At 39.3% G+C, this 22,095-nt stretch overlaps 1 protein-coding gene across 4 annotated transcripts in view, besides 3 other annotated features; it reads right to left on the bottom strand.

Moving 5' to 3' along the window:
• Positions 1-22,095, bottom strand: part of GNL3L (G protein nucleolar 3 like) — a 115,636-nt gene that overhangs the window by 3,405 nt on the left and 90,136 nt on the right. For 2 of the 4 annotated variants that reach the window (XR_007068190.1, XR_007068191.1), the window contains exons 17-18: positions 6,145-6,215; positions 6,023-6,056 (exon numbers count right to left, since the gene is read on the bottom strand). The gene's annotated coding sequence lies outside the window, so the exon portion shown is untranslated. Of the gene's footprint in view, positions 1-6,022; positions 6,057-6,144; positions 6,216-20,888; positions 21,606-22,095 lie in introns of those variants that run through there. The other 2 variants (XM_047442190.1, XM_047442189.1) reach the window with 1 other exon arrangement.
• Positions 2,506-2,755: an enhancer, noted in NCBI's record as "active region_29675". NCBI's record gives its function as "activates an Ori minimal core promoter by ATAC-STARR-seq in GM12878 lymphoblastoid cells {active_cell/tissue: GM12878}" and the evidence as "EXISTENCE:reporter gene assay evidence [ECO:0000049][PMID:35858748]".
• Positions 2,742-3,267: an enhancer, noted in NCBI's record as "H3K27ac hESC enhancer chrX:54665616-54666141 (GRCh37/hg19 assembly coordinates)". NCBI's record gives its function as "activates a minimal SCP1, AML or CMV promoter by ChIP-STARR-seq in primed H9 embryonic stem cells {active_cell/tissue: H9 hESC(primed)}" and the evidence as "EXISTENCE:reporter gene assay evidence [ECO:0000049][PMID:30033119]".
• Positions 3,046-3,175: an enhancer, noted in NCBI's record as "active region_29674". NCBI's record gives its function as "activates an Ori minimal core promoter by ATAC-STARR-seq in GM12878 lymphoblastoid cells {active_cell/tissue: GM12878}" and the evidence as "EXISTENCE:reporter gene assay evidence [ECO:0000049][PMID:35858748]".

Raw genomic sequence — 22,095 nt, 5'->3', positions numbered from 1 at the left:
GCTACATTCCTTTACATTGAAAGGAAATAAATGAAAGGAAGAGTCGAAGGAGCTGATTGATGTTCAGATCAGATTATGTCTGTATTGATTGCTTTTGTTTTTATATGACAAGCTTGTGGTCATTTTTAAAAATAAAAATAACATATTAATGCTTTTAAAAAAAAGATTAAGAGAATCTGACAGACCAGCTCCATCACTGGCTGTGTCACCTTAGTCAAGTTAATCTCACTAAGCCTCAGTTTCTTCACTTGTAAAATGAGGAAAAGTACACTCACCTCAGAGGGCCGAAGTGCAAATTAAATTAAACCTATTTAAAAGGCTGTTTTTGTTAAGACTCTTTTGGATGCAAGGAACAGAAACCCAGTGAAGCTAGATCACGAATCAGAAATCCAAGGGCAGGAAGTGAAGTACAGATAAAGCTTATTAAGCCTGGAGCTGCAGGAAATTTCTGGATGAGGCATGGACCCTCTGCTCTGGAGCTTTACCATTAATGTAATTCATCTGCACTACATGTCTGCTTCTCTCTGTACATCTGCCCCAGCTTCCTCATTCAGCCAACCACCTTGAACTGCTCCCCCAGGATTTTAACAGGCACTTGACCTGATTCATAATGCTGCACCCACCTACCCAGCATCCTGGTCTACTGGACCTGTCAGCTCAGCTCCCCACAACTAACTGGCAACTCTCCTCTGGATCTCTTATTTCACATTCCCAAGAGAGCAATCTGATTGGCCCACCTCATCTTCTAAAGCTGGGCCATACAACTCACAGGTTGTGGGCTGGCCTTGGATCAGGTGCTGTATCCTAAAGGAAGGGTGGATGTAATACATAGTTAGTCCTTGCTTGATCATTTGGTAGGAGCTGTAAGTAGAGCCAGTGCTCCCAGAAGGGGATGTAAAGATGGCCAGTGGCCATCAAAGATAGTGGTGGCATCTCTGATGCATGTGTGCAGCAGAGTGACTGGAACATGGCAGGTGTTCAACAAATAGTCATAATTATTCACGGTAACATTATGCCACCTCTTACAGGAAGCCTTCCCAGAACTCTTAAGGTTCCCAAACTTTTTCACCCAGATCAGGACCCCTACTGCAGGAATCATCCAATTAAGAAATCAATGAAATTTCATTATACAGGACAGACTTTTATGGCCTTCTAGGTATAAAGCACTGTACTGGGCACTGGGAGGAAGGATACACAAATGAATGAGGCCCTTATCCTGGCCTCAAGGAGCTCTGAGGATAGTAAAAGGTAAAAGGCAAACTGAGCCATGAGAAATCCACAGATAGGGAGCTCTGGGAGTTCAGAGAAGGGCAAAAACTGTTGTTTATCCGTATGTATGCCTGTCTCCTGGATACCTCCCTTTAGATGTCCCAAAGGCACCTCGAACTAAATGTATTTAAAACTGATCTCATCTGCTCCCTCCCAAACCTGTTCCTCTTCTCAGATTCCCTGTCTCAGTGAGGCAAGTTCATCCAACCCAGTTGCTCAAGCTTGAAACCTGAGCTGCACCCGCTCACAATGTCAGCTGTTGCAGTTGCTAAAGTTGTCCCCGAACCTTTGGTGTGTGTTTGCCTTGCCCCAAAGGTCAGAACTAATAATAAACTTCTGCATTGCTGCAGGATACGGAAATTAAAACCAGCCTGGAGACAGACAAGACCCGGAGTCCACCAGGTTTGATTTCGGACTTGGCTTCTGATGTCAACGGGTATGATCCCTTTCAGGAAAGCGGGTCGACAAGAGCCTAAAACATGTTTATGACATTTTCCTGGTAATTCTGCTCCTAAATCGATATCCACCCACCCCTACTCCTACAGGAAAAGCTCTAAGCACAAAATTATTCCTTGCAGAGATATATTTTGGTGGTCAAACACTAGAAAGTAGTTTTAATATCCAACAAGAGAAGGGTTAAGTGAATTGTGGCACAGCTGTCTAATGGAACATTCTACAACCATTGCTGAGAGATGACGGCTGTGGAGATTCTATAGCAACAGAGAAAAATTATTATGCCATAACTAAGGATGCAGGGTTGTGTGTACACTCTGACTGCAACAACCTAAAAACTGCATGGCCTCAAGCTCTGCTGATGGACATTTAAAATTTCTCCTCTATTATTACTTTTTAAAAAGGCCTTAACTTTATGTCATGTATGGGTATCTCTGGGTTTGGGGTTTTTGGCTTGTTGTTTTCGTTTTTTCAGTCTTTTCCTTCCGTCAATCAACCGCCTTAAAAATGTGTCTTCTTTGTACCAGGCCCTCCCCGAGGTGCTGGTGATTCAAAGGTCAATCACCCACAACTCTTTCTCTGGGATGTCAGGGCAGAAGAGGAAACAGATACAAAAATAAACAGTTTCAAAAATATATGGGCCAGTCTTTATGGGCCCACTTGTGGACGTACGCAGGCACGGTCACCCCCTGGCGGCCACTCGACTACCAGCTCTTGGGTGGCTCTAACCTCTGGACAGCGGCTTCCACTCTCGGTGGCCAGCCCCAGCCTCGTTCTCCGAGAGAGTCCAAGACTCCTCCCTCTCCCTCCTTCTGGGGCCCTCCATCCCCTAGTAGGCGTCTCAGCCTGGGCCTGGCCCAGACAAATCCGACCCTGTTACTCTCACCGGAGCTCCTCCCTCCCCGAAAGCCTCACTCCGGCTGTGAGCTGCAAGATTACGTCATTGTCAATGGTTCGCATGCGCCCTCACCACTGGACAATTGGCGCACCCCTGCCGCAGGCGGGCGTAGCTTCGGGCTCCGGGGTTCTCCCTTTTCCTTTCCTGATGTTTTTTTTAAAGTGGCGACACACTACTTGTAAGAGACGCTGGTAAACTCGTGGCTTTAGGAGGAAATGGGAGCCAAGAAAAGCTGCAAAGCTCAAGGCTCACGACCGCTTGCTCGCCATTGTCCCACTCACTTCCGAAAGAGATAACGCCCCTTTCCGACTCTTTTGGCCTCCCCGCTCCAAGAGTGAGAATCGAAGCCCCGCCCCGTGAGCGTCTAGTCCCAAGATAACCCAGCTGCGCTTGCGAGTGCAAGTACACTGGGGCGGGGCTGACAGGAGGCTGATGCAATCGAGTCGGGCGGGCGGGGCACGTCGGATGAAAGTGGGTACCGGAAGAAAAGGGGTTATTTCAGCAGGCTTAGTAACCCTATTCAAAGTAAGACCTTAATATATAAGTAAAAGTTCGTGCCTGATTTGGAGAGCTCTTTGACTATTAAATTTTTTTTAATGTAACGCCTGTAATCCCAGCACTTTGGGAGGCCAAGGTGGGTGGATCACTTGAGTCCATGAGTTTGAGACCAGCATGGGCAACACAGTGAGACCCTCCCTCTCTATTTTATTTTAAAAAACATTATTTTAAAGGTATATATCCTATTGGCTCAGCAATCCCATTTCCATATATATACATCCAAGACTCCTAGAGAAGTGTATGCGGATCACCTACAGGGCTTTGTTAAAACACAGATTGTTGTGGCCCATCTACTATCAGAGATTAGGAACTTGTGTTTCTAACAACTTCCAGGGTAATGCTGGGGCAAACTGGTTCAAGACCACACTTTAAGAACCTTAGATCTAGAGGACAAAAAACTGCAAGGAGCCTTATGAACAAGTGTAAGCCGTGCTGATTTGTTGGCAATAACGAAAAATTGAAAGTATCAGTGGGGGCAGGAGATGGTTGATAAACTTATCAGTTTAAAATGGGCTATATATAGGCCGGGCATGGTGGCTGACGGCTGTAATGCCAATACTTTGAGAGGCCGAGGTGGGTGGATCACCTGAGGTCAGAAGTTCGAGACCAGCATGGTGAAACCCCGTCTCTACTAAAAATACAAAAATTAGCCAGGCGCCTGTAATCCCAGCTACTCAGAAGGCTGAAGCAGGAGAAACGCTTGAACCCGGGAGGCGGAGGTTGCAGTGGGCCGGAGATTGCGCCACTGCACTCCAGCCTGGGCAACAGAGCCAGACTATCTCAATTAATTAATTAATTAATTTAATGAGCTATATATAAACTGACATGGAAAGATATCGAAGGTGATGATGATAGTAGTGAGGGTGGTGATGATGATACTTAATGTTTATTGAGCACTTACACTGTATCAGGCACTGTGTGAAGGATTTTACATTTCTTACCTCATTTTCTACAGCAATTCTCAGGAATGTGGACTGTGTCTAATTCGCTGTATATTTTTAGTCCAGAACAGGGTCTGGCACCCAGGATCTTGTCAGTAAATGTTTGTGGCCTCATGTGATCAGATCCAGTCCCACAAGTTCACAGTCCCAAGAGTTTAGGACTTCACAGCCCAAACAATATTTCAAAAAATTGCAAAGGATGGATAAAATATTGCGGAAGAAGGACACTAAAAACAAACTACTGCCTTCTATCACCATCATTTTAAGAAAAGACAATTACACATAATCCCCCATTAAAGGAACGAACTTTTTAATTTATCTTTAATATGAAAATTTTTAACATATGCAAAAGTAGAAAGAAGAGTAAATGAACCCCCAAGTACCTCTCACCCAGCTTCTCAATTATCACCTCCTGGCCAAGCATCTTACATCTCAAACCCCAACACACATCGTATCCCAGATTACTTTGAAGCAAATGCTAGACGCCATTTTCTCCATAAATATTTGAGTTCATGTGTTTAAAATATAAGAACTCTTTTATAATAATAACCATAATACCACAGAATATCTAAAAATTTAAGAATAATTTCCTAATATTATAAAATATCCAAGTATTTACATTTCCCTGATTTATACATATCTTTTGCAGTTTTGCACAAATTAGCAAGTAAATAAGATAAAGCAGAGGCCTTTAAATCAAATATACACTACAGTGTCCTTTTTATCTTCATTTTACTGCAGATTGGCAAAAACTATATCAGGCCCTTGCACAAGATGACAGACCAGTATTGGGAACTACTGGCATAACATTCATTCAAAAGTAGATAGTGAGATATATATGTGTGTGTGTGTGCATGCACATGTGTGCACACATGTGTGTATATGTGTGTATACATACAAACTGCAAAATATATATGTGTGTATACACACACACAGCCTGACACTTCTAGCGGTACACAAGGGTAAATAAGACAGATGCAGTCCCTGTACTCCTGGAGCCAACATTCTACTGAGAGAAACAGACAATTACCAAGTCAAGAAATACATTTGGAATTTAATTTCGGGGTCATAATATGTACAATGAAAAAAATAAAGAAGGAAGATAAGGCAGTAGAAAATGATGGAGGCAGTAGTACATTGGCAAAATGGTGAAGTAGGCAGCTCCAAGCTCTTGTTCCCCTACAGAAACTGATAATCAAGCAGAAACTGACAGAACCAACTTTCTCAAAACTCTGGAAAACAATGAAAAGTTTATAGCAACCAAGCAAATGCTGAATAAAGAAAAAGGCAATAACAGATGCCAGTGAGGTTGCAGAGAAAAGGGAACACTTATACACTTATGGTGGAAATGTAAATTAGTTCAGCCACTGTGGAAAGCAGTGTGATTTCTCAAAGAACTTAAAACAGAGCTACCATTTGACTGAGCAATCCCATTACTGGAAGTCTCATATACCCAAAGGAAAATAAACCATTCTACTAAAAAGACACATGCATGTGTATGTTCATCACAGTGCTATTCACAATAGCAAAGATACAGAATCAACCTAGATGCCCATCAACAGTGGATTGGATAAAGAAAATGTGATACATATATACTGTGGAATACTGTGCAGCCATAAAAAAGAATGAAATCATGTCTTTTGCAGCAATATGAATGCAGCTTGAGGTCATCATCCTAAGCAAATTAACACAGGAACAGGGAACCAAATACCACATCTCACTTATAAGTGGGAGCTAAACATTGAGTACACATGGACATAAAAATGGGAACAATAGACACTGGGGACTACTAGAGGTGGGAGGGGGAGGGGGCCAGGGTTGAAAAACTACCTATTGTATACTATGCTCACTACCTGGGTGATGGGATCATTTGTACACCAAACTTCAGTGACATGCAACTTACCCATGTAACAAATTTGCATATGTACTCTCTGAACCTAAAATAAAAGTTGAAAAAAAGAAAGATAAAGGCAACTTCAAAATGGTAAGAAAGTTTTATGGCATATTTACTTGCTCTTGCCCCACCTCCTCTCCAGTGCAGTCATGGTCTTGAATAGGAAAGTCCACATTCTCCTGCGGGAAACTTGTTCCTGATCCTGGAGGAAACAGAGCAGACCTTATTTGCATATTGTTGTGTATGTATGTTCTAACCTGCCTTGGGGCTAAAAGACTGACATAAAGTATTCATCTGTGTTTCACTTCACTCAGAACTGAGGCTATAAAATGGCAAGCTCAAAATCAATGCAAGAAAAAATGAGCAATATGCAGATCTCAGGGGAAAAGATTATGATCAAAACAAAACAGACCACCTAAGGACTGAGAGCAAGAGCTGGGGAGAGTTTATTTGAGAAATTCGGACATTCAAAAGAAGCCACATATATGGGGAGATTTAGAAAGCCATGTGCATGCTCCACACAAGACACATCCTCAGAAAAACAACATGTGAAAACTCTAATGTTTCACCACTGGCTGAGTCCTATGCTTAGTGCAAGCCTAGTTAGGTGTTGAAAAAAAATGCCCTAGAACAAAATGATTCTGCAAGGATGAGGTGGGGGAGGTAATTTTTGTTTGTTTGATTGATTTTTTTTTTTTTTTTAGTTCCTGACATTCAAGGAAATCCTATCAAAACACTAGCTGAGCACAAACTGAAAAACAGAAATATCAATGACTACACACACAAAAAAACGGTCTTCCTAAAAGTACTTTGGGAAAGTCACTAAACAAATGGACTACTATAGCCTTCACATAAATTAAATAAACAGCGAACTCAGAGGAAAAAGGAGAATTTAATGTACCCCCTTAACATTTTATGATATTCAAACATATAGCTTTCAACAAAAAATATCACAAAACATACAAAGAAATAGGAAATTATGGCCCATTTACAGAAACAAACTAAATTGACAGAAACTATTCCTGAGGAAGTCCAGACATCAAATTTAATAGACAAACACTTTAAAACAATTGACTTAAATATGCTCACAGAACTAAAGGAAAACATGAACAAATAACTAAAGGAAATTAGGAATATGACGTATGAGCAAAATTAGAATATCAATTTAAAAGACAGAGCATAAAAAGGAACCAAACAGAAATTTTGGAGCTGAAAAGTACAATGATTGAAATGAAAAATTGACTAGAGGTATTGAACAGCAGATCTAAGATGGCACAATAAAGAATCAGTGAACTTAAGGATAGGATAATCGAAATTATCAAGTCTGAGGAGAAAAGAAAGAATTGGCCAGGCACAGTGGCTCATGCTTGTAATCCCAGCACTTTGGGAGGCCGAGATGGGTGGATCACTTGATGTCAGGAGTTCAAGACCAGCCTGGCCAACACGGCAAAACCCTGTCTCTACTAAAAATACAAAAATTAGCTTGGCATGGTGGCGGGCACCTGTAATCCCAGCTACTCAGGAGGCTGAGGCAGGAGAATCGCTTGAACCCCCAGGAGGCAGAGGTTGTAGTGAGCCGAGATCATGCCACTGCACTCCAGCCTGCGTGACAGAGCGAGACTCCATCTCAAAAAAAAAAAAAAAAAAAAGAGCCGGGCGCAGTGGTTCACACCTGTAATCCCAGCACTTTGGGAGGCTAAGGCAGGCAGATCACAAGGTCAGGAGATCGAGGTCATCCTGGGTAACATGGTGAAACCCCGTGTCTACTAAAAATACAAAAAAAAAAAAAAATTAGCCAGGCTTGGTGGCATGCACCTGTACTCCCAGCTACTTGGGAGGCTGAGGCAGGAGACTCGCTTGAACCCAGGAGGTGGAGGTTGCAATGAGCCGAGATCACGCCACTGCGCTCCAGCCTGGTGACAGAGCAAGACTCCGTCTCAAAAAAACAAAAACAAAAAAAAATACAAATTAGCCGGGCGTGATGGCACATGCCTGTAATCCCAGCTACTTGGGAGGCTGAGGCAAGACAATCATTTGAACCCGGGAGATGGAGGTGGCAGGGAGCCGAGATAGCGCCATTGCACTCCAGCCCAGGTAACAAGAGTGAAACTCCATCTCAAAAAAAAGGAAAGGAAAAAGAATAAAAGTGAACAGAGCTTAAGGGACCCATAGGACACCATAAGCTAACCCACATACATATTATTTGAGTCTAAGAAAGAGAAGAGAGAACAAAATAATATTTGAAGAAATAATGGCCAAGGATTTCCCAAATGTGAAGGAAAATAAGAATCTACAAATCCAAGAAGCTATATGAACTCCAAGCAGCATACTCTCAAAGAGGCACACACTGAGACACATTAGAGTCAAACTGTTAAAACACAAAGACAAAGAGAATCTTGAAAGCAGTGAAAGAAGTGACTCATTACATACGATCCTTGATACAACTGACAGTTGATTTCGCACCAGAAATCATGAAGGCCAAAACACACTAAGATGACATACTTTAAATGCTGAAACTGTTAGCCAAGAATTATCTATCCAGCTGCAGAAGGCAGGAAGGAGTGAGGCCTGAAAGCCCTGCTTGCTTTCTCAGCTGGAAGCTTTGCAGCCAGAGGCAAGATCTCAGCCCTGCATACCAGAGGCCTGGATACAAATTCAGCTCTGTTGGCTGTTGGAGGAGCATGGCGGGACTGAGACTGGCCTTGCTGGCTGTGTGGGAACTGAGTGAGGCCTGTCACTGCTGGCTTTTCCCCCACTTCCCTGGCAACCTGTATGAAGGAGCAGAGGTAGCCATAATCCCCCCTTGGAACATAACTCCATTGGCCTGAGAACCACCCCTGCCATCCCTCTCTTTGGCCGCAGCAAGTCCCCCTGAAAGACAATCTGAGCTCAGACTTGCCTAACCCTGCCCCCACCTGATGGTCTTTCTCTACAAGCCCTGGTGGCTGAAGACAAAAGACATAAAACTCATGGGTGCTCTATGGCCCTGCCCATCACCTGAGAAACCTGAATACTTATCCAGGTGACCTTAAGGCAAGCTTGTATCTCCCTATACTACCACAGCTGATGCTCTCTTGAAAGCTATCTCCTGGTGGAAGGTTAAAGCAACTCATAACAGAACAACCCTGCTCCAAGGAAGGAGAAAATAATACTTAATTCCACTGCCTGTAACATTCTGACTAACCAGAGGGCCAGAATCTGCCCATGTGACAACTTCATAGCTAGCATAAACAGGATTTGAGAAAAACAGCACACTAAACAAAACTACAACCACTTCACTACCCTGCTTCCTCCACTTGTAGCAGGTGCTGGTATTCGTGGCTAAGAGACCCGAAGATGGATCACATCACAGGACTCTTTGCAGACACTCCCGAGTACCAGCCCAGAGCCCAGTAGAAGAAGAACAATAACAATCACTGCACTCTCGCTCTCAGGAAGCCCCGTCCTTAGGAGAAGTGGGAAAGCACTCCATCAAGGGACCACCCCATGGGACTAAAGAATCTGAACAGCAGCCCTTGAGTCACCGATCTTCCCTCTGACATAGTCTACCAAAATGAGAAGAAACCAGAAAAACATTTCTGGTAATATGACAAAACAAGGTTCTATAACACACCCAAAAGATCGCACTAGCTTACCAGCAATGGATCAAAACCAAGAAGAAATCTCTGAATTGCCAGAAAAATAATTCAGAAGGTTGATTATTAAGCTACTCAAGGAGGCACCAGAGAAAAGTGAAAACGGATTTAAAGAAATTAAAAACATAATACAGGATATGGAAGGAAAATCTCCAGAGAAATAGACAGCATAAATAAAAAACAAATCACAACTTCTGGAAATGAAAGACACATTCGATGAAATGAAGAATACACTGAAAAGTTTCAACAATAGAATAGAACAAGTAGAAGAAAGAACTTTACAGCTCGAAGACTTTTGAATTAACCCAATCCAACAAAAACAAAGAAAAAAAATCCAAAAAAGAACAAAGCCTCCAAAAAGTTTGAAATTATGTTAAAAAAAAAAACTAAGAATAATTGGTGTTCCTGAGGAAGAAGAGAAATCTAAAATTTGGAAAACTTATTTCGGGGAATAATTAAGGAAAACTTCCCTGGCCTTGCTAGAAATCTAGACATCCAAATACAAGAGACTCAAAGAACACTTGGGAAATTCATCACAGAAAGATCATCACCTAGATACACAGTCATCAGGTTATCTAAAGTCAAGATGAAGGAAAGAATCTTAAGAGCTGTGAGGCAAAAGCATCAGGTAACCAAAAAAGGAAAACCTATCAGATTAACAGCAGATTTTTCAGCAGAAACCCTACAAGCTAGAAGGGATTGAGGTCCTATTTTTAGCCTCCTTAAACAAAACGATTATCAGCCAAAAATTTTGTATCCAGTGAAACTAAGCTTCATAAATGAAGGAAAGCTAACGTCTTTTTCAGACAAACAAATGCTGAGAGAATTTGCCACTACTAAGCAAGCACTGCAAGAACTGCTATAAGGAGTTCTAAATCTTGAAACCAAACCTCAAAATACACCAAAAATAGAACCTCCTTAAAGCATAAATCTCACAGGGCCTATAAAACAATAACACAATGGAAAAACAAACAAGATATTCGGGCAACAACAGCATGATGAATAGAATAGTACCTCACATCTCAATACTAACATTGAATGTAAATGGCCTAGATGCTCCACTTAAAAGATACAGAATGGCAGAATGGATAAGAATTCACCTATCAAGTACCTGCTGTCTTCAAGAGACTCACCTAACACATAAGGTTTCACATAAACTTAAGGTAAAGGGTTGGAAAAAGATATTCCATGCAAAAGAACACCAAAAGCGAGCAGGAGTAGCTATTCTTATATCAGACAAAACAGACTTTAAAGCAAAAACAGTTAAAAAAGACAAAGAGGGACATTACATAATGATAAAAGGACTAGTCCAACAGGAAAATATCACAATCCCAAATATATATGCACTTTTATATATAAGTGCTCCCAAATTTATAAAACAATTACTACTAGACCTAGTAGTATTTGTTAGATACTACTAGATAAGAAATGAGATAGATGGCAACATAGTAATAGTGAGGGACTTTGATACTCCACTGACAGCACTAGACAGGTCATCAAGACAGAAAGTCAACAAAGAAAAAATGTACTTTAACTATACCCTTGAACAAATGGATTTAACAGATATTTACAGAACATTCTACCCAACAACTTTAGAATACACATTCTATTCATCAGCACATGAAACATTCTCCAAGATAGACCATATGATAGGCCACAAAACAAGTCTCAATACATTTAAGAAAATTGAAATTAGGCTAGGAGAGGTGGCTCATGCCTGTAATCCCAGCACTTTAGAAGGCTGAGGCGGGTGGATCGCCTGAGGTCAGGAGTTAGAGACCAGCCTGGCTAACATGGTGAAACCCCATCTCTATTAAAAATATAAAAATTAGCCGGGAGTGGTGATGGACGCCTGTAATCCCAGCTACTCAGGAGGCTGAGGCAGGATAATCACTTGAACCCAGGAGGCAGAGGTTACAGTGAGCCAATATTGTGCCCTGCACTCCAGCCTGGGTGACAAAGTGACACTCTGTCTCAAAAAAGAAAGAGAGAGAGAGAGAGAAAAGAAAGAAAGAAAGAAAGAAAGAGAAAGAAAGAAAGGGAAAGAAAGGGAAAGAAAGAGAAAGAAAGAAAGAAAGAAAGAAAGAAAGAAAAAGAAAGAAAGGAAGGAAGGAAGGAAGGAAGGAAGGAAGGAAGGAAAGAAGGAGAAAAGAAAACAAAAGAAAATCGAAATTATACCAAGTACTCTCTCAGACTACAGTGGAACAAAATTGGAAATCAACTCCAAAAAGAACCCTCAAAACCATGCAAATACATGGAAATTAAATAATCTGCTCCTAAATGATCTTTGAGTCAACAATGAAATCAAGATGGAAATTAAAATGTTCTTTGAACTGAACAATAATAGTGACACAACCTATCAAAACCTCTGGGACATGGCAAAAGTGGTGCTAAGAGGAAAGTTCATAGCATTAAATGCCTACATCAAAAAGTCAGAAAAAGCACAAATAGATAAGCTAAGGTCACACCTCAAGGAACTACAGAAACAAGAACAAACCAAACCCAAACCCAGCAGAAGAAAAGAAGTAAGAAAGATCAGAGCAGAACTAAATAAAATTTTAACAAAAAAATACAAAAGATAAATGAAACAAAAAGCTGGTTCTTTGAAAAGATAAACAAAATTGATAGACCATTAATGAGATTCACCGAGAAAAGAAGACAGAAGATCCAAATAAGCTCAATTGGAAATGAAAAGGGAGATATTACAACTGATACCACAAAAATACAAAAGATCATTCAAGGCTACTATGAACACCTTTACATGCACAAACTAGAAAACTTAGAGGAAATGGATAAATACCTGGAAACATACAACCCTTCTAGATTAAACCAGGAAGAAATATAAACTCTGAATAGACTGATAACAAGCAGTGAGATTGAAATGAAAATAAAAAATTGCCAACAAAAAAAAGTAGAGGACCAAATGCATTCACAGCTGAATTCGATCAGACAGTCAAAGAATTGGTACCAATCCTACTGAAACTATTGCAAAAGATAGAGTAAAGGAAATCCTCCCTAAATCATTCTATGAAGCCAGTATCACCCTAATACCAAAACCAGGAGAGGACATAACCAAAAAAGAAAACTACAGACCAATATCCCTGATGAACATAGATGCAAAAATTCTTGACAAAATACTAGCTAACCAAATCCAACAGCATATCAAAAAGATAATCCACCATGATCAAGTGGGTTTTATACCAGGAATGCAGGGATAGTTTAATATATACAAGTCAATAAATGTAATACACATAAAGAGAATTAAAAACAAAAATCACATGATCATCTCAATAAACACAGAAAAAGCATTTGACAAAATCCAGCATCCCTTTATTATTAAAACCTCAGCACAATCGGCATACAAGGGACATACCTTAGTGTAATAAAAGTCATCTATGACAAACCCACAGCCCACATTACACTGAATGGGGAAAAGTTGAAAGCATTCTCTCTGAGAACTGGAACAAGGCAAGGATGCTCACTTTCACCACTTCTATTCAACATAGTACTTGAAGTCCTAGCCAGAGCAATCAGACAAGAGAAAGAAATAAAGGACATCCAAATTGATAAAAAGGAAGTCAAACTGTCACTGTTCACTGATGATATGATCCTATACTTAGAAAACCCTAAAGATTCCTCCAGAAAGCTTCTAGATCTGATAAATGAATTCAGTAAAGTTTCAGGATACAAAAGCAACATACACAAATCAGTAGCCCTACTATACACCAACAGTAACCAAGCTGAGAATCAAATCAAGAACTCAACCCCTTTTACAATAGCTGCAAAAAATTATATATATATAATTTTTATATATAAATTATATTTTATAATTATATTTTATATTTAATTATAATTATATTTTATATAATTATATTTTATAATTATATTATATTATGTTTTATATAATACAAAAACGAAGAGGAAACTTAATTAAACTAAAAAAACTTCTGCACAGCAAAAGAAATAAGCAAAAGAGTAAACAGACGACCCACATAGTGGGAGAAAATACCTGCAAACTATGCATCTGACAAAGAACTAATATCCAAAATTTACAAGGAATTCAAACAAATCAGCAGGAAAAAAAAACAACAAATAATCCCACCAAAAAGTGGGCTAAGGACAGGAATAGACAATTCTCAAAAGAAGATATACCAATGGCAAACAAACATATGAAAAAAAATGCTCAACGTCACTAATTATCAGGAAAATGCAAATCAAAACCACAATGCAATACCACTTTACTCCTGGAAGAATGACCATAATTTAAAAATCAAAAAATAATAGATGTTGGCATGGATGTGTTGAAAAGGCAACACTTTTACACTGTTGGTAGGAATGTAAACTAGTACAACAATCATGGAAAACATTGTCAAGATTCCCTAAAGAACTAAAAGTAGATCTACCATTTGATCCAGCAATCTCACCCAGAGGAAAAGAAGTCACTCTATGAAAAGGCACTTGCACATGCATGTTTATATCAGCACAATTCACAATTGAAAAAATATGAAACCAGCCCAAATGCCCATCAATCAACAAGTAAATAAAGAATACACACACACACACACACACACACACACACACACACACACCACGGAATACTACTCAGCCATAAAAAGGAACAAAATAATGGCATTTTCAGCAACCTGGACGGAGTTGGAGACCATTATTCTAAGTGAAGTAACTCAGGAATGGAAAACCAAACATCATATGTTCTCACTTAAAATTGGGAGCTAAGCTATGATGACACAAAGGCATAAGAATGATACAATGGACTTTGGGGACTTAGGGGGAAGGGAGGGAGGGGTGTGAAGCATAAAAGACTACACATTGGGTACAGTGTACACTGCTCGGGTGATGGGTGCACCAGAAGCTTAGAAATCACCACTAAAGAACTTATCTATGTAACCAAACCCCACCTGTAACACCACCTGTTCCCCAAAAACTATTGAAATAAAAATAATAATAAAGAAAAATAATAAGAGGAATTTTGGAAACAGTAAAACACATGAAACAAACAACATGCTAATAAACAATCATTGAGTTAATGAATAAATTAAGAAGAAAAGTTTTTAAATATCTTGAAACAAATGAAAATAGAAATGCAATATATCAAACTTATGGGATAGAGCAAAACACTGCTAAGAGGAAACTTGATAGCAATCAATGCCTACATCCAAAAAATAAATTTCAAGTAAACAATCTAATGATGCATTTCAAGGAACTAGAAAAGTAAAAACAGACCAAAACCATAATTAGTGGAAGGAAAGAAATAATAAAGATCAGAACAGGACTTCACAAAATACAGGCTTAAAGAAAAACCACAAAGCATCAACAAAATAAAAAGTTGGTTTTTTGAAAAGATAAACAAAATTGATAAATCACTAGCTAGACAAACTGAAAAAAAAAAGAGAGAAGACCCAAATAAATAAAGTCAGAAAAGAAAAAGGAAACATTACAACTGATACTTCAGAAATACATGAGGAGTTTAACTTCTGCTGGCCACAGTGGCTCACACCTGTAATCCCAGCATTTTGGGTGGCCAAAGTGGACGGATCACTTGAGGTCAGGAGTTCGAGACCAGCCTGGCCAACATGGTGAAACCCCATCTCTACTAAAAATACAAAAATTAGCCGGGCATCGTGGCGCACATCTGTAGTCCCAGCTACTTGGGAGGCTGAGGCAGGAGAATCGCTTGAACCCAGGAGGTGGAGGTTGCAGTGAGCCAAGATCATGCCACTGCACTCCAGCCTGGGTGACAGAGTGAGATGCTGTCTCAAAAAAAAAAATTGAAAAGTTTCTGCACATCAAAGGAAAACAACCAACAGAGTGAAGAGACAGCCTGCAGAATAGGAGAAAATATTTGTAAAGTATTCATCCAACAAGGGATGAAAATTCAGAATATACAAGGAAATCAAACAACTCAAAAGCAAAAAAAATCAAATAATCCAATTGAAAAGTGGGCAAAAGAACTAAATAGATATTTCTCAAAAGAAGACATACAAATGGCAACAAACATGGAAAAAATGCTCAACATCACTAATGATCAGGTAAATGCAAATCAAAACCACAATGAGATATCATATCACCTCAGAATGGCTATTTTCAAAAAGACAAAAATAACAAATGTTGGCGAGGACATGGAGAGAGGGGAACACTTATACACTGTTGGTGGAAGTATAATTAGTGCAGACATAAAAAACCATGTGGAGGTTTCTCAAAAAACTAAAAATAGAACTACCATATGATTCAGCAACTCCAGATTATTTATCCAAAGGAAACAAAATCAGTATATCAAAAAGATACCTGCACCCCTATGTTTATTGCAGCACTATTCACAATACTCAAGATGGAATCAACTTAAGTTTCCATCAGTGGATGAATGGATAAAGAAAACATGGTATATATACACAATAGAATACTACTCAACCTTAAAAAGAATGAAATCCTGTCATTAGTGGCAACATGGGCAAGCCTACAGCATATTATATCAAGTGACATAAGTCAGGCATAGAACGATAAATACTGCATATTTTCACTCATATGTGAGAGCTAAAAAAAATTTGAGTTCATGGAAGTAGAGAGTAGAATTGTGAGTATTAGAGACTGGGAGGGAGAAGGGAGACTGGGGAGGGTTTGGTTAACAGATACGAAATTACAGCTAGATATGAGGAATGAGTTCTATCATTCTGCAGCACTGTAGAATTAATATGGTTAAACTACAATTTATTGTATATTTTCAAAAAGTCAGAAGAGACTATTTTGAATGTTTACAACACAAATTTATTTTAAGGTGATGAATATGTTAATCACCCTGATTTGATCATTATACATTGTATACATGTATCATAATATCCGTCTGTATCCCATAAATATGTATAATTATTACCTGTCAACTAAAAATAAAAGGAAAAATGTGTTGAAACATATATGTATATACACATATATTTTGTCATGTTATAAAAACTTTTTCTGCTTTGTCATTGTCCGAAAATTTTGATACAGTGGTTTAAAATTTTGTAATATAATCAAATCTATCCATATTATTAACTATGACTTTTGGCTTTGATGTCATGCCATAATTTAAATAGTTCTCTACCATTAGATATTTTAGTTATTTCCAATTTTCCCCTATTATAAATAAGGCTATAATAAATACTACTGTGCCCAAAAAAAGAATATTACCGACCAATATCCCTTACAAATATATATGCACAAGTACTCAATAAAATATTAGCAAACTGAATCCAACATCATATTAAAAGGACTATACACCATATCCAAGTGGAATTTATCCCAGGAATGCAAGGGAGGTTGAACATAAGAAAATCAAACAATATAATACACTACATTAATAGAACAAAGTCAAAGAAACACATATGATCATCCCAAGTGATACAGAAAAGCTCTTTGACAAAATCCAACACCCTATCATGATAAAAACTCTCAGAAAAGTAGGGATAGAAGAGCGCTTCCTCTACATGATAAATGGCATTTATTAAAAAAAAAAAAAAACAAAACAAAACCAGAGCTAACATCAGACTGACTCAATGGTGAGAGACTGAAAGCTTTCTTCCTAAAATAAGGAACAAGACAAGAATGCCCTCTCTCACCACTGCTGTTCAATGTTGTACTGAAGTTCTAGTCAGAGCAATCTGACAAGAACAATAAATAAAAGGCATCCAAATTGGAAAGTGTTATGGGCTCAATTTTGTCCCCCCAAAATGCATATATTGAGGTCCCAAACCCCAGTACCTTAGAATATAGCTGAATTTGTAGATAGGGTCATTAAAGAGGTAATTAAGTTAAAATGAGCTCACTAAGATGGGCTCTAATTCAATATGACTGGTTTAAGTATTTACTATAGCCTTACCTATAATAAGGGAAAATTGGAAATAACCAAAATATCTAATGGTAGAGAACTACTTTCATTATGGCATGATATCAAAGCCAAAGCTCTTATGAAGAGATTAGAACACAGATATACACAGAAAAGAGACCATGTAAAGACACACGGAGACACATCTACAAGCCAAAGAGAGAAGCCTCAGAAGAAATCATTCCTGCCAGGTGCGGTGGCTCATGCCTGTAATCCCAGCACTTTGGGAGGCCGAGGCAGGCGGATCACCTGAGGTCAGGAGTTTGAGACCAGCCTGACTAACATGGTGAAACCCCGTCTCTACTAAAAATACAAAAAAAAATAGCCAGGTGTAGTGGTGGGTGCCTGTAATCCCAGCTACTTGGGAGGCTGAGGCAGGAGAATCGCTTGAACCCGGGAGACGGAGGTTGCAGTGAGCCGAGATCACGCCATTGCACTCCAACCTGGACAAAACAGCGAGACTCTGTCTCAAAAAAAAAAAAAAAAAGAAAAAGAAAAAAAAAAGAAATCATTCCTGCTAACTCCTTGATCTCAGACTTCAAGCCTCAAGAATTGTGAGAAAATAAATGTCTGTTGTTTAAGCCACCCAGCCTATGGTACTTTGTTATAGCTGCCCTAGCAAACTAATACAGAAAGATGTAAAACTATCTCTATTCACAGATGACATGATCCTCTATATAGAATATCCTGTCTGGATGCAGTGGCTTATGCCTGCACCCAGCCAGGATAATAATCCCAGCACTTAGGGAGGCCGAGGCGGGTGAATTGCTTGAGCCAAGGAGTTTGAGAACAGCCTGGGCAACACTGCAAAACCCCGTCTCTCCAAAAACTACAAAAATTAGTCAGGCATGGTGGCACATGCCTGTGATCCCGGCTACTCAGAGGGCTGAGGGAGGAAGATCACTTGAGCCCGAGAAGTCGAGGCTGCAGTGAGCTGAGCTCACGCCACTGCAGTCCAGCCAGGGTGACAGAGTGAGACCCTGTCTCAAGGGAAAAAAAAAAAATCCCAAAGAATCCACAAGAAAGCTACAAGAGTATATAAACAAATTCAGCAAAGTTACAGAGTATAAGATCAACATACAAAAAATTAGTTGTGTTTCTATATACCTGCAATGAACAATCCAAAATGGAAATTAAAAAAATAATTCAATTTACAACACCATCTAAAAGAATAAAATAACCAAGAATAAATTTGGCCAAAAATGTGAAAGGCTTGTACACTGAAAACTACAAAACATTCCTGAAAAAAATGAAAAGACAAGTCCCATGTTAATGGGTAGGAAGATTTAATATTGTTAATACATCAATACTATCCAAAAGGATGTACAGATATAAAACAATCCCTATCAAAATTTCAACACCTGGCCAGGCACAGTGGCGCGCGCCTGTAGTCCTAGCACTTTGGGAGACCGAGGCAGGCGGATCACAAGGTCAGGAATTCAAGACCAGCCTGACCAACATGGTGAAACCCCATCTCTACTAAAAATACAAAAATTAGCCGGGTGTAGTGGCACATGCCTATAATCCCAGCTACTCAGGAGGCTGAGGCAGGAGAATCATTTAAACCTGGAAACAAGAGGTTGCAGTGAGCTGAGATCATGCCACTGCACTCTAGCCTGGGCGACAGAGTGAGACTCCGTCTCAAAGGAAAAAAAAACATATTTCAACATCCTTTTTTTGCAGAAATGGAAAAGCCAATCTTCAAATTCATATGGAATTGCAAGGGGCCCTTAATAGTCAAAATGATCTTAAAAAAGAACAACAACATTGGAGGACTCATACTTCCTGATTTCAAAACTTACTACTAAAGTGATCCAAACAGTGTGGTACTAGTATAAAGATAGACATATAGACCATTGGAATAGAATTGAGAGTTCAAAAACAAACCCATACACCTATGACCAATTGATTGTTGACAAAGGTGACAAGTCCATTAAATAGGGTAAGAACAGTCTCTTCAACAAATGGTGCTGGGACAACTGAATTTCCACATGCAAAAGAATGAAGTCAGACCCCCTACCTCACATCATATACAAAAATTAACTCAAAATTGATCAATGACCTAAATGTAAGAGTTAAAACCATAAAACCCTTAGGAAAATATATATGGGTAAATCTTCCTAACACTGGACTTGGCAATGGTTTCTAGAATATACCAAAACATATGAAACAGCAACAAAAGAAAAAAATAGATTAGATTTCATCAGTTTACAAATTTCATGCATGAAAGGGCATTACCAAGAAAGTGAAAAGACAACCTCACAGAATGGAAGAAAATATTTATAAATTATATATCTGATAAGTGTTTAATATTCATAATATTTAAAAACTCATGCAACTCGGCCGGGTGCAGTGGCTTATGCCTGTACTCCCAGCACCCTGGGAGGCCGAGGCAGGCGGATCACCTGAGGTCAGGAGTTCAAGAACAGCCTGGCCAACATAGTGAAACCCCATCTCTACTAAAAATACAAAAATTAGCCGGGCATGGTGGCACGTGCCTGTAGTCCCAGCTACTTAGGAGGCTGAGGCAGGAGAATCGCTTGAACCCAGGAGGCAGAGGTTGCAGCATGCCAAGATCATGCCAGTGCCCTCCAGCCTGGGCGACGGAGCAAGACTCCGTCTCCAAAAAAAAAAAAAAAAAAAAAAAAAAAATTCCTGCAACTCAACAAAAAGACAACCCAATTTTAAAAGGAGAAAAGGACTTAGATATTTCTCAACAAAAAGACATACAAATAAACAATAAGCAAGTGAAAAAATGCTCAACATTATTAGTCATTAGAGAAATGCAAATCCAAACCAAATCACTACGTATCTATTAAAATTGGTATAATTTTTTTAAGAGACAGGGTGCCACTCTGTCAAATATAAGCACTCTAAAAGTAAAGTGGAATAAAAATCTCCTTGTGTGCTTTGTATGTTGAAATTAGGGAAGTAAAGTATAAATGTATGTGTGCCACAAGAGAAACTGCTGAAAAAGGAACCAGATAAGAATACAATAATTCTTTACATGGTTCCTATCATTTTACACCAAGGAAGATAACTGGTGTGCATGTGATGAAAACTGAGATGTGGATGGAAATCCAAAGATGACTTTCCTACAATTATTTATTTATTTTTATTGAGAGAGGGCCTCTCTCTGTTGCCCAGGCTGGAGTGCAGTGGGGTGAGCACAACTCACTGCAGCCTCAACCTCCTGGGTTCAAGCGATTCTCCCTCCTCAGCCTTCCAAGTAGCTGGGACTATGGGTGCAGGCCATCATGCCCGGCTCATTTTTGTAATTTTTGTACAGATGGGATTTTGCCATGTTGCTCAGGCTGTGTGTTCCAATTACTAGTGATGTGTAACAAAATACCCCAAAACTTAGTGGCTTAAAACAATCATTTTATTTTTCTCACAATTTTTGAGTCAGGAATTTGGGAAGGGCTCAGCTGGAAAATGTTCTCTTTGGGTCTTTCTTGCAGTTGTAGTTAGATGTCAGCTTGGGCTGCAGTCATCTGAAAACTTTACTGGATGTCCAAGAAGGCTCACTCAAATGGCTTATAGTCGATACTGCTTGTCAGCTAAGAGCTCAACTGAGCTGTTGACCAGAGTTTCTACATTTGGTCTCTACAGCATGACTGTCTCAGTTGGACTTCTTACATGGCAGCTCAGGGCTACAAGTATAAGTGTTCCAATTAATCAGGCAAAAGCTGCATCATTTTATATGACTTAGCCTAAAAGGTCACACAGCCATCATTTCTGCTATATGCTAATGACTGATAAATTCACAAGCCCACTCATATTCAAAGAGAGGAGAACTTGACTTCACCTCTTAATGGGGAAATGGTAAGGTCTCATTGTATTAAAGTATGTGGGATGAGTGAGATTGCTGCAGCCATTTATGAAAAAGATAACCTGTCATTGTGTAGCGATCTGTTTCCTGCCAGGACTCTGACTAATAAAGTTTTTCTCCCAGAAAAGTTTTTCTTGATCTTTAAAAGAAACATAGAAAAAGGAAGGTCCACTTTATGCTTTGGACACAGCTTTCTTCATGTGTTGTCTGGAGCTGTGACAGCCATTGTGAAACCATGAGGAAGCTCACCTACAAAAAAGGCAGACAGGCTTTTAACCAAAAGACAGGCAATAACAAGTGCTGGAGAGGATATGGAGAAAAGGGAACCTCACACGCTATTGGTGGGAATGTAAATTAGTACAACCACTATGGATAACAGTTTGGAAGTTCCTTTAAAAACTAAAAATAGAGCTACCATATGATCCAGCAATCCCGCTGCTGGGCATGTACTTAAAAAAAAGGAAATCATTATAAGGAAGAGATATCTGCACTCCCATGTCTGTTGCAGCACTGTTCATAATAGCCAAGATTTGGAAGCAGCTTAAGTGTCCATCAACAGATGAATGGATAAAGAAAAATGTGGTACATATACACAACGGAGTACTATTTGGCCATAAAAAAGAATGAGAACCAGTCCATTTGCAACAACATGGAACTGGAGGCCATTATGTTAAGTGAAATAAGTCAGGCACAGAAAGACAAACATTGCATGTTCTCACTTATTTGTGGGAGCTAAAAA

Source organism: Homo sapiens, chromosome X (assembly GCF_000001405.40).
Source record: "Homo sapiens chromosome X, GRCh38.p14 Primary Assembly".
Lineage (NCBI taxonomy): Eukaryota > Metazoa > Chordata > Mammalia > Primates > Hominidae > Homo > Homo sapiens.
This window is presented reverse-complemented; position numbering and strand designations above follow the sequence as displayed.